Source organism: Homo sapiens, chromosome 4 (assembly GCF_000001405.40).
Source record: "Homo sapiens chromosome 4, GRCh38.p14 Primary Assembly".
NCBI lineage: Eukaryota > Metazoa > Chordata > Mammalia > Primates > Hominidae > Homo > Homo sapiens.
The window spans coordinates 128030227-128042862 of NC_000004.12; the positions used below are offsets into that span (position 1 = coordinate 128030227).

At 39.9% G+C, this 12636-nt stretch overlaps 1 protein-coding gene across 19 annotated transcripts in view; it reads left to right on the forward strand.

Annotated features, from left to right (window-relative positions):
* The window catches only part of ABHD18 (abhydrolase domain containing 18), a 74548-nt gene extending 64821 nt beyond the window's left edge, over window positions 1–9727 (forward strand). For 11 of the 19 annotated variants that reach the window (NM_001366042.3, NM_001358454.3, NM_001366038.3 and 8 more), the window contains 2 exons: window positions 284–446; window positions 5536–9727. In NM_001366042.3, coding sequence (NP_001352971.1) covers window positions 284–446; window positions 5536–5587 — 215 coding nt within the window. In that variant the 3' untranslated portion in view covers window positions 5588–9727. Of the gene's footprint in view, window positions 1–283; window positions 1551–5535 lie in introns of those variants that run through there. The other 8 variants (NM_001366044.1, NM_001366045.1, NM_001366043.1 and 5 more) reach the window with 1 other exon arrangement.
* Window positions 9728–12636: the final 2909 nt, after the last annotated feature.

Sequence of the window (12636 nt, forward strand, 5' to 3'; positions counted from 1 at the left end):
ATGCCCGTATCAAAATATCTCATGTAACCCATAAATATATACACCTACTGTGTACCCACACCCACACAAAAGAAATAAATTAGTTAATTTTTAAAAACCACAGTATTTTGTATCATTTTTAGAATATTTATCTCGTACTGGAGATGAGTAAGGTAGCATATTATAGTTGATTTTTAATTTAATCAAAAATGTTTAGTTTGACGAATGTTTTATTTACTGCATTGTGTGGGTTTTTTTATTTTCTAATGTGTATATGTTGAATTTTTAAAAATCCTATACCTAGTCCCAGTTGATCCAAGCCTCATTATAGTGGTTCAAGCCAAAGAAGATGCCTATATTCCACGAACAGGAGTTCGAAGTTTACAAGAAATTTGGCCTGGTTGTGAAATCCGATACTTAGAAGGGGGTCATATTAGTGCTTATCTTTTTAAACAAGGACTCTTCAGGTAAGACGGCTGGTCTAAACATGTATTCGTTCATTTGTTGTTTGTTTTCTGGATTTTTTGCTTCAACAAATGTAAAAGATCACATATTTTTATAGTCTGTTTCAATCTTTGAATTCCCTCCTCACCTCCCACAAATCTCACAGAGTTACTTTTCCCTCTTTCCTAGAATTTGATCTTCTTATTTTCTTCTAGAGAACTAAGCATGATGCATATTATAGGCATGCTTTATCGTGTGGCTTTCCCCTCTTCAAATATTAATGGCCAGGTATTTTAGGATGTGAGAAGGAAGATCATGGCTTGTTAAAGTTGCTTTGGTGCATCAAGAGTTTTTTCACTCTATTCTGATGTTTTTTCAGAATGGCCTGAACATCTGTGGAATAATTTAGCAATGTTTTTCAGTTAGCAAGTGAATATTGAACCTTAAATAAGAAGTGCTTTTAATGTGAACAACCTTATATGACTCCACTATTTTAGTTAGAACTTATAAAAACTTTTATGCTGGCTGGGCGCGGTGGCTTACGCCTGTAATCCCAGCACTTTGGGAGGCGGAGGCGGGTGTATCACGAGGTCAGGAGATCAAGGCCATCCTGGCTAACACGGTGAAACCCCGTCTCTAGTAAAAATACAAAAAAAAAAAAAAAAAAGTAGCCGGGCATAGGTGGTGCATGTCTGTAGTCCCAGCTACTTGGGAAGCTGAGGCAGGAGAATGGCATAAAACCCGGGAGGCGGAGCTTGCAGTGAGCCGAGATCACGCCACTGCACTTCAGCCTGGGAGACAGAGCGAGACTCCGTCTCAAAAAAAAAAATTTTTTTATGCTAAAACTATAATTTTCTGGTATTCTGCATTATTGAAACATATTCCTCATGTTATTATTAATGATTAAGTAAATTGATTCACATAAATGGTTAGATCAGTGCCCTGTACATAAGTGTTAAAAAAAACTTCCAACTGGATAGCTATATAATAGAAGAATTGTATGTGATATGTTTGACATGTTTTAGCTCTTGTTAACGGAGGAAATAATTTTTCTATGTTGTTACTTATCTAGCCCAACTTATAAATGTCACCCTTTTTAGAAATAAACCAATTGTTCAAGTCTCTCATGTCTTGAAGGATATAGTAAACCTTTCTTTTTATAGTATGATCTTTTAAGAAGTATTCATGCAGCATTTGAGTCCCTATTGGTGAGTGAGCAGACTATCCAATACTCATTGGCCCTCTGGCACAACAAAATTAAAACAAATAAACAAAAATCCGTGACTACCTAGGGTTGCTAGGATTGCTTAAGAAGAGTCTAAAGTTCTGTTATACATGTGAACGCAGAGGACCCACATGCTTGCATTAGTAAATTAGTATCAAATTTCTTTCACTCTTTTGTGTATCTAAGTGGGAGTATAGCTAAGACGTATTAGGAAGAGTAGATTTATAATCAAAGTCAAATATAAAAACACAAAAGTGCTATTATGAAGGCTTCATTTGAGAGAGATAAATGTTAACTATTATCATGTGCCAGATGCTAGGGCAATTGCTCTGTTATTATCCCCTTTACACAGAATAAAGGGAACAAAAAAGATTAAGTAACTTGCTCAAGTGGAGTCACTACTAAGCTATTTGACCTCTTCCATTCCCCATCAGTCACTTCAAAACTTAACAGAGGTTAGATGACATTGGAATAGTAGAATTTTTAAAAATTCAGTCTTTTCACACACCAAACATAAAAATAAAAGAAGCCGCCAGGTGCGGTGGCTCACATCTGTAATCCCAGCACTTCAGGAGGCCAAGGCGGGTGGATCATGACATCAGGAGTTCGAGCCCAGCCTGGCCAATATGGTAAAACCCCGTCTCTACTAAAAATACAAAAATTAGCTGGGCGTGGTGGGCACGCACCTATAGTCCCAGCTACTCAGGAGGCTGAGGCAGGAGAACCGCTTGAACCTGGGAGGTGGAGGTTGCAGTGAGCTATCGCACCACTGCATTCCCCCTGGAGGCAGAGGTTGCAGTGAGCTGAGATCGCACCACTACATTCCAGCCTGGGTGACAGTGAGACTCTGTCTCAAAAAATGAATGAATGAATAAATAAAGCCATTCCTTTATGTGCTCTAATATTTTGTGTTATTTAGAGCTTATTGATAATACAGGTGAATAAGAGACTATTCACATGATTAAAAAGGGACATACATTACATGTACACAAGCCCGTATTGTAACTTTTGGCACCAGGAAGTAAACAAATTCAGATTCATTCCACAAGAGCAAGTGCCTGGAACTAACTCTGAGGAAAAAAATTATCCAGTGGGTGGGCCGGGCGTGGTGGCTCACGCCTGTAATCCCAGCACTTTGGGAGGCCGAGGCGGGTGGATCACGAGGCCAGGAGATCAAGACCATCCTGGCTAACATGGTGAAACCCTGTCTCTACTAAAAATAGAAAAAAATTAGCTGGGCGTGGTGGCGGGTGCCTGTAGTCCCAGCTACTGCAGAGGCTGAGGCAGGAGAATGGTGTGAACCCAGAGGTCAGAGCTTGCAGTGAGCCGAGATCGCACCACTGCACTCCAGCCTGGGTGACAGAGTGAGACTCTGTCTCAAAAAAAAAATTATCCAGTGGGCAATAATTTCAAAGCCCTCTTTACTTCTTCCCTATTGCTGTCATATCTGTCTTCAAAACAAAATCTCTTTATGTGTTTACACCAACATGCAAATATCCACCTCTAATTTTTTTCCCTTCTTATGGTTCATTATAATTCACAGGGAACAAGTACTTGAGCCAAAGAAAGACAAGCATGTTGTAAAACTATGACTTCCCAACATATTGGAAATAATAATCTATTAGCAGGCTATCAGTTTCAAAGATAGTCTTTTTTTTTTTTTTTTTTTTGTCTTTTTTGAGACAGAGTCTCCCTCTGTCACTCAGGCTGGAGTGCGGTGGCATGATCTTGGCTCACTGCAACCTCCACCTCCTGGGTTCACGGCATTCTCATGCCTCAGCCTCTGCAGTAGCTGGGACTACAGGCGCCCGCCACCACGCCCGGCTAATTTTTTTCTATTTTTAGTAGAGACGGGGTTTCACCATGTTAGCCAGGATGGTCTCGATCTCCTGACCTCGTGATCCGCCTGTCTCGGCCTCCCAAAGTTCTGGGATTACAGGCGTGAGCCACCGCACCCGGCTAAAGACAGTCTTAATAGCTGTGTTTGGATGTGAGGATATGGTTAGTTGAACAAGTGGGATACAAAATTAATATCTGATAGTTATTTAAACTGGGTGAAAATATAGACATGCATTTTCTTTTTTCTTTTTTTTTTTTTTTTTTGAGCTGGAGTCTTGCTTGTCACCTAGGCTGGAGTGCAGTGGCGCGATCTTGGCTCACTGCATCCTCCGCCTCCCAGGTTCAAGCAATTCTCCTGCCTCAGCCTCTCGAGTAGCTGGGATTACAGGCACCCACCACCACACCCGGCTAATGTTTGTATTCTTAGTAGAGATGGGGTTTCACCATGTTGGCCAGGCTGGTCTCGAACTCCTGACCTTGTGATCCGCCCTCCTTGGCCTTCCAAAGTGCTGGGATTACAGGCGTAAGCCACCGCGCCTGGCCTAGACATGCATTTTCTTAAAAGCCTGGAGGAAAGATATGAAAAGGTTAACAGTAGATGTGAGTGATGGGATTATGATGTTTTCCCCTTCCTATGTTTTGGATTTTCTGAATATTCTGCTATAAAAATGTATTATACAATAGGAAAAAAACAGCTTTAGAAAAAAATATGAGTGGGGCAGGGTGTCGCAGGACTGTAGTTCCAGATACTCAACAGGCTGAGGTGGGAAGATAGCTTGAGGCCAAGAGTTTGAGGCTGCAGCGTGCTATGATTGCACCTGAGAGTAACCACTGCACTCAAGCCTAGGCAACATAGTGAGATCTTGTCTCTAAAAAAAAAGAAAAAAGAAAAGAAAAAATATCTTATGGAAGATAAAATTTGTCTATTCCTTTTCTTTTTCTTTCTTTTTTTTTTGAAACAGAGTTTCGCTCTTGTTGCCCAGGTTGGAGTGCAATGGTGTGATCTCAGCTCACACAACCTCTGCCTCCCAGGTTCAAGCAATTCTCCTGCCTCAGCCTCCCGAGTAGCTGGGATTATAGGCATGTGCCACCACACCCGGCTAATTTTTTGTAATTTTAGTAGAGACGGGGTTTCTCCATGTTGATCAGGCTGGTCTCAAACTCCCGACTTCAGGTGATCCGCCTGCCTCGGCCTCCCAAAGTGCTGGGATTACAGGCTTGAGCCATCGCGCCCGGCCTGTCTATTCCTTTTCAATTGAAATATTAAAATACTTGGTAAAGTTAATGTGAGAAACCAAGGCTTTTGATTTTAAGTAGCTAGGAACATGTTCATAGTAAATGAAAAACATCTATATCATAATCTGTGAAACAGAATCTTACATTCTGAAAAGTTACATAATTAATTTTCAACGAAGCGATAAGACAATAAATCAGTTCCTTTTTCTTTCATAATTTATTTTATACACATTACACACATGTGCCTCTGTGTGCGTGCGTGTATGTATGAATATATATATTCTAAGGCACAAAAAGTGCTTCAGAAAAAGATAATGCTTTTAGATCCCTCATAAATTGGAAGTATATTTGAGGTTTTCCGGTAGTGGTGGTAAAGTTGCATGCATCTGAGGCAGGCGGATCACTTGAGGCCAGGAGTTCGAGACCAGCCTAGCCAACATGGTGATACCCCGTCTCTACTAAAAATACAAAAAATTAGCAGGGTGAGGTGGTGCATGCCTGTAATTCTAGCTACTTGGGAGGCTGAGGCATGAGAATCACTTGAACCGGGAGGCAGAGGTTGCAGTGAGCAGAGATCATGCCACTGCAGTCCAGCCTGGGCGACAGAGCGAGACCCTGTCTCAAAAGAAAAAAAAAAGTTACATGGATTCAAACACCCATTCTGGGGAGGGTAACTGCCTATTTCATAGCTATTTAGAGAGGATGTCAAGTTGCAAGCCACAGATAAATTTGGAAATAACTTACAGTAAAGGCATTGTTTGTCCCCCCTTTTTGTTAGTTACTTAGAGTTTTTCTTTCATATTTAATTTTAGACAAGCCATCTATGATGCATTTGACCGCTTCCTCCATAAATACGCTAACTAGTTGGATTATTATATGTAACCAGTGTGGCCATGATGTTTCTTACAAAAGGGAGCTTCATCCTGTGATCATGTGAAGGACAAGCAGACAGCACTAATATATCTAATCGCTATCAATTTGGTCTGGAATTCATTGTTACACATCAGTTAACTATAAACTTCGAATACATTTGAATAATTTCAAGATAATATTTGAAGTAAATAATGTTAAAGTGTTTTTACTATTGTTTATTGGAATCCCATATATTCAGTGTTTAGTCTGTTGTTACTGTTTATGAAAAACTAAATTTTTAATCATGAATAATTTATTAAATTAAATAAATTTATTCATAGAAACTTTTCTGGGTTTTAGTAAAATTGCTAAATCAAACCAAGATTTTAATATATCAGCATTTACTTTGTACCCTTATAACATTTCACTCTTGACTTGATTTGAGAAACATGTTTATTTTTTGAATGTTCTTGTGTTCAACTAATTTTCTGCTGTGGAAATAAATACTTATGATATATAAAATCAGTGTTAACTTTGAATTCTAAAATATCCTGATAGCTTCATAGATAAGTGCTTTTCTTTTTCTTTTTTTTTTCTTTTAACATGTACCTCTACTTGAATGTAAGTGCTTTTAATAATCAAAGTGAGTGGCAGGGTGCGGTGGCTCACGCCTGTAATCCCAGCACTGGGATGCTGAAGCGGGCAGATTACCTGAGGTTGGGAGTTCAAGACCAGCCTGACCAATATAGAGAAACCCCCTCTCTACTACAAATACAAAAAATTAGCCAAGCATGGTGGCGCATGCCTATAATCCCAGATACTCAGGAGGCAGAGGCAGGAGAATCGCTTGAACCCGGGAGGCAGAGGTTGCGGTGATCCGAGATCACACCATTGCACTCCAGCCTGGGCAACAAGAGTGAAACTCCGTCTCAAAATAATAATAATAACCAAAATGAGTGTTCTGCAGATAAAATGCATTAGACTTTGCTAGACTAAAACTTTACTAAAGATTAGGGTTTTTAAAAAATGCCAATAGGCCGGGTGCAGTGGCTCATGCCTGTAATCCCAGCACTTTGGGACGCTCAGGCGGGCGGATCACAAGGTCAGGAGTTTAAGACCAGCCTGGCCAACATGGTGAAACCCCATGTCTACTAAAAGTACAAAAAAATTAGCCGGGCATTGTGGCGTGTGCCTGTAATCCCAGCTACTCAGGAGGCTGAGGCAGGAGAATTGGTTGAACCAAGGAGGCGGAGGTTGCACTGAGCTGAGATTGCGCCACTGCACTCCAGCCTGGGCAACAGAGCAAAACTCCATCTCAAAAAAAAAAAAAAAAAAAAAAAAAAATTAAGCCGGGCATGGTGGCAGGCACCTGTAATCCCAGCTACTCGGGAGGCTGAGGCAGGAGAATTGCTTGAACCCGGGAGGCAGAAGTTGCAGTGAGCGGAGATCGCACCACTGCACTCCAGCCTAGGAGAAGGAGCAAGACTCTGTCTCAAAACAAAACAAAATGCCAAACTTATTTCTCCCTACTAAAAAGTTTCAATTCACAAAAATGGAAACATTGGAAGACCTGTTGCATTAACTGACGGAGTGCAGTGGCATGATCTTGGCTCACTGCGACCTCCGCCTCTCAGGTTCAAGCGGTTCTCCTGCCTCCACCTGAGTAGCTGAGATTACAGGTGCCCGCCACCATGCCTGGCTAATTTTTGTATTTTTAATAGACACGAGGTTTCACCATGTTGGCCAAGCTGGTCTCGAATTCCTGACCTCAAGTGATATGCCTGCCTTGGCCTCCCAAAGTGCTGGGATTATAGGTTTGAGCCACCACACCCGACCTGACATTTTATTTTTATTTTTTTAATTACATTTTTCTATATGCTTATTCTTTGGATTGCTAACCATCTAACTACCCAAATACTTAACAGCCTTGGCTTTTAATTTCAAAATTTAATAGACACATATGCAATTGATTTGTCCCATATAAACTTTATTTTACAGAAAATATTTAAAGTTTTATGTAATAGCTATTAACTCTCTTAAATGGGGTTTATATGGCTCGATTTGGTGCTTTCTTTTTATGTTAAACTTCTCTAGCTGTCAGCTAAAATGTTAAAAAAGTCGAAAATATTTTAGGGTATTGTGTGAAGTTTTACAGTAGGTATTTTTGAGTTTTGTTTGAAATCTGTGTTGTCTGTGAATTATTTTTAAATAGGGATTCTTAGTCTACTAACGATATTTGAATTATAATGTGCCTTTGCAGTCTTTTTAAAGGAGATTTCATTTGTCACCTCTATGCCTCTATCATCTTAATTTTTTACAAATATTTAAAAATTATTAATGTGAAGTTATTGATGGTAGACAAAGTAGTAACTTCTTTCAAACTACTTTGGCATAACAAGCCAACACTGTACAGCTCTTTGAGCTATAAGCAATTTTACATGTTCAGATGAGAACCTTTAGTTTTAACCAAAAGTATAACATCTACTAAAGTTCTTCCACAAAATACTTTTTAAAATAAAACTTGTCAACTGAATTACGATTTTCTTATATTATGTATATAGTGAGGTTATATGATTGAATGCTTTTTGAACAATGGTTTTAGTAAAACAAATACTTTATTATTGTTCACATAAACATTTCTTACTAAGCAATAATGTACTATGTTGTGTGAATTTCTATTGTTAAAAAAATGAAATGTTGATTTAGTTTTAATTCTTAGGCATAACTAACTTTTCTCAAATAAAGTGTGAAAGAAAGTATTTTTAAAATTTCATCTCTTAACCAGATGTTTTAAGAATATATCCCTAGGCCGGGTGCAGTGGCTCACACCTGTAATCCCAGCACTTTGGGAGGCCGAGGTGGGGGGACCACCTGAGGTTGGGAGTTCGAGACTAGCCTGACCAATATGGAGAAACCCCATCTCTATTAAAAATACAAAATTTTTAAAAAAAATACAAAATTAGCCAGGCGTGGTGGCACATGCCTGTAATCCCAGCTACTCAGGAGGCTGAGCCAGGAGAATCGCTTGAACCCGGGAGACGGAGGTTGCAGTAAGCCGAGATTGTGCCATTGCACTCCAGCCTGGGCAACAAGAGCAAAACTCTGTCTCAAAAAATATATATATATCCCTAAAACTACCTCAGTTGAAGAATTCAAAGTGCAAAATAACTTTTCTTAGGATTTTTTAATCTATTCCCCCCAAAATGGTGGCTTAAGTGTTCTCAAATACATAAATATACACATATACGTATATGTATACGTTTTATATATATATACACACACACGTATGTGTGTATATATATGTATGTACGTATATATATGTATTATATATACACACATATGCATATATATATATATATATATATATATATATATATATATATAATCTCAAAGAAGTGCGGTCTGCCATTTATCTGCCATTTTGAGGATTTAGGTACTACATAAAATATTAGAAATTCATTTAGACCAGATCTGTAAACTGGTAGTTCACATAGGCCAGTTTGACCCACAGTTATTTTATTAGATGTACATAATGTTTCAAAAATGTTTGAATTTGAAAAGTCTTTTGATTGGGTGTGTGTTCCCCAGTTTGCCACAGCCTACTGGACTTCCCTCTTATATCAGACAACTTCTCTACTTTGTAGTTCCTGCTCAGCCCTGAAGACCTCTAAGTTTGAGACCCCTGATTTAGATCTGTAATTAGAAAAAGGTTCTGAATTTCATGATTTGCTAATGTAATTACTATTAAGTCATTTTAGCATGTGCATTTTAGAGTCCTTCTTTGTATTTTTGTAATGTGGTGCTTTCTCTCATAAAGATAATTGAATTGTTAACACTGTAATTGAAATTTTAAAAATCATTTCCAAATCTTTTATTATATTTCACAGTAAAAGTCTATTTAAAAAGCTAATCATTTGTGCTTTTTTTCAAGAGGTATTATTGTAAATACGGTAGACACATGTCACATTTGATTAATGTACCCAAACTTGAACTGAGTGTATATGTTCCCTCTTTGTTATTATGCCCTAAACAAGGTAAGACAGAAATAAGCAAGGGAGGCTCTAGCAGAACAGTATCAGTATCTCTATAAAAATAACCAAAATTTTCCCCAAATATGTGTGATCTGAGGGAAATAAACATTCTTACAGACCATAGTTATCTCAATGTTGCTCAATGTTGAATGTGATTACATTTACACTCATGAATAAATATACTGCAAACAAAATCTAGGTTAGACTGGGAATGGGAGTCTTAGATAGAGTCTCCTATATGTTAATAATAGTAACTGCGTTTGGAAAGGTGAGGAAAGATTATGGTAGATTAGACAAAGGGGAAAAAGGTCATTTGGCCACTTTGCAGTAAAATAGCCTAATTCTATGAATATTCTTATAGACAAAATCCTAGGAAACCAATGACTGTATGAATTATAAGCCAGGAATTGAATCGGCCAGCACCTTGGTGGACTCCCCAGCTCCAGAAGTGTGAGAAATAAATATCTGTTGTCTAAGCCACCAAATTAAGGTATTCTTTTATAGTAGCCCAAACAGACTGAGGTAACAGGTCATGTGAGCAACCATTAAATAAGAGTATAAAACAGCACTGTCCAATATAACTTTATACAGTGACAGAAAAGTACTCCATCCACTCTACCCAACACAGTAGTCATTAGTCACATGTGGCTGTTGATCATGTGAAATGAGGCAATCATAACTGAGGTACTGAATTTTTTTTTTGTTTTTTGAGACGGAGTTCTGCTCTTGTTGCCCAGGCTGGAGTGCAGGGGCACGATCTTGGCTCACCACAACCTATGCCTCCCAGGTTCAAGTGATTCTTCTGCCTCAGCCTCCCAAGTAGCTGGGATTATAGGCATGCGCCACCACGCCCGGCTAATTTTGTATTTTTTAGTAGAGATGGGCTTTCACCACGTTGGTCAGGCTGGTCTTGAACTCCTGACCTCAGGTGATCCACCCACCTCGGCCTCCCAAAGTGCTGGGATTATAGTGTGAGCCACCGCGCCTGACCTGAATTTTTTATTTAACATTCAAGTGTTAAAATTTAATGTGAATAGCCACATGTAACTAGTAACTATTAGATAGCACCGATACAAAAAATCTGAAAAGTGGCCCGGCGCAGTGGCTCATGCCTGTAATCCCAGCACTTTGGGAGGCGGAGGTGGCTGGGTCACCTGAGGTCAGAAGTTCAAGACCAGCCAGGCCAACATGATGAAACCCCATCTCTACTAAAAATACAAAAGTTAGCCGGGCGTGGTGGCGGATGCCTGTAATCCCAGCTACTTGGAAGGCTGAGGGAAGAGAATCGAACCTGGGAGATAGAGGTTGCAGTGAGCCAAGATCGCACCACTGCACTCCAACCTGGGCAACAGAGCAGGACTCTGTCTCAAAAAGAAAAAAGAAAAAAAGTTAGGCATAGCAGGGCACAGTCTTGTGTGCCTGTACTGCCAACCACTCAAGAGGCTGATGCAGGAGGATCACTTGCACCCAGGAGTTCAAGGCTGCAGTGAGCTATGGTTGCACTACTGCATTTCAGCCAGGGTGACAGAGCAAGGCCCTCTCTAAAAAACAAATAAAAATAGCTGGGCGCGGTGGCTCACGCCTGTAATCCTAGAGAGAACCGTTAAGAAAGTACATAGGCTGTGCGCAGTGTCTCACGCCTGTAATCCAACACTTTGGGAGGCTGAGGCGGGCGGATCACAAGGTCAGGAATTCGAGACCAGCCTAACCAACATGGTGAAACCCCGTCTCTACTAAAAATACAAAAATTAGCTGGGTGCGGTAGCATGCGCCTGTAATCCCAGCTACTCAGGAGGCTGAGGCAGGAGAATCGCTTGAACCCTGGAGACAGAGGTTGCAGTGAGCCGAGATCCCACCACTGCACTCCAGCCTGGGCGAGAGAGTGAGACTCCATCTCTAGATAAATAAAAATAAACTGATGTTGACTAAAAAATTTATAGATGCACCAAAATTTGACAAAATTTAGATCTGCAAATTTGACCTACAAAAATCAGTTAAAAAAAAGATTTTCAAAGAAAACTCAAAATACAAAATTAAGAGGGATGAGAATTGATCCCAAGAAAATTAGTTAACAATTAGTATGGGCCGGGCTTGGTGGCTCACGCCTGTAATCCCAGCACTTTGGGAGGCCGAGGCGGGCAGATCACGAGGTCAGGAGATCGAGACCAGCCTGGCCAACATGGTGAAACCCCGTCTCTACTAAAAATACAAAAAATTAGCCGGGCGTGGTGGCAGGCGCCTGTAGTCCCAGCTACTTGGGAGGCTGAGGCAGGAGAATCACTTGAACCCGGGAGGTGGAGGTTGCAGTGAGCTGAGATCGCGCCACTGCACTCCAGCCTGGCAATAGAGCGAGACTCTGTCTCAAAACAACAACAACAACAACAAAAAAAAAACAATTAGTATGAAAGTGGAAATGGGCTTAACTGCATCATGAAGAAATTGATCAGAGTTTAACTTGTTTAGCAAAATTTGTTCCTGAAAATACTTTGTTAATGAAGTGCTATAACTAGATTATGCAGGGTCCTGTAGGATTTTAGTCTCTATGCAAAGAGCTACAGGAAGACATTAAAGGTTTTTCTCCATTGATTTAACATGTGTCTTAAATACATTTTAAGATGTATTTGGGACAAATTTAGGATTAGGACAAATACCTAATGCATGCAGGGCTTAAAACCTAGATGACAGGTTGATGGGTGCAGCAAGCCACCATGGCACGTGTATACTTATGTAACAAACCTGCACGTTCTGCACATGTATCCCAGAACTTAAAAAAAAAAGATTGTCAATTGATCATTAGAAAAAATGTATCTGGAAAAGCTCATTCACTCTGGCTGCAATGAGGAGAACCAATTGAAGGGGGCCTATAGTTCATGCAAATGTTTCAACTAGAAGGTCATCAACGTGGCCAGGTGAAACATGATGATAGCTAAAACTAGGATGGTGGCAGTGGATATGAAGAAATCTGGATGTATTTCAGAGATAATACAGGTGATGAGATGATGGTAGGTTGGGGGGGTGAGGGTGGTACTT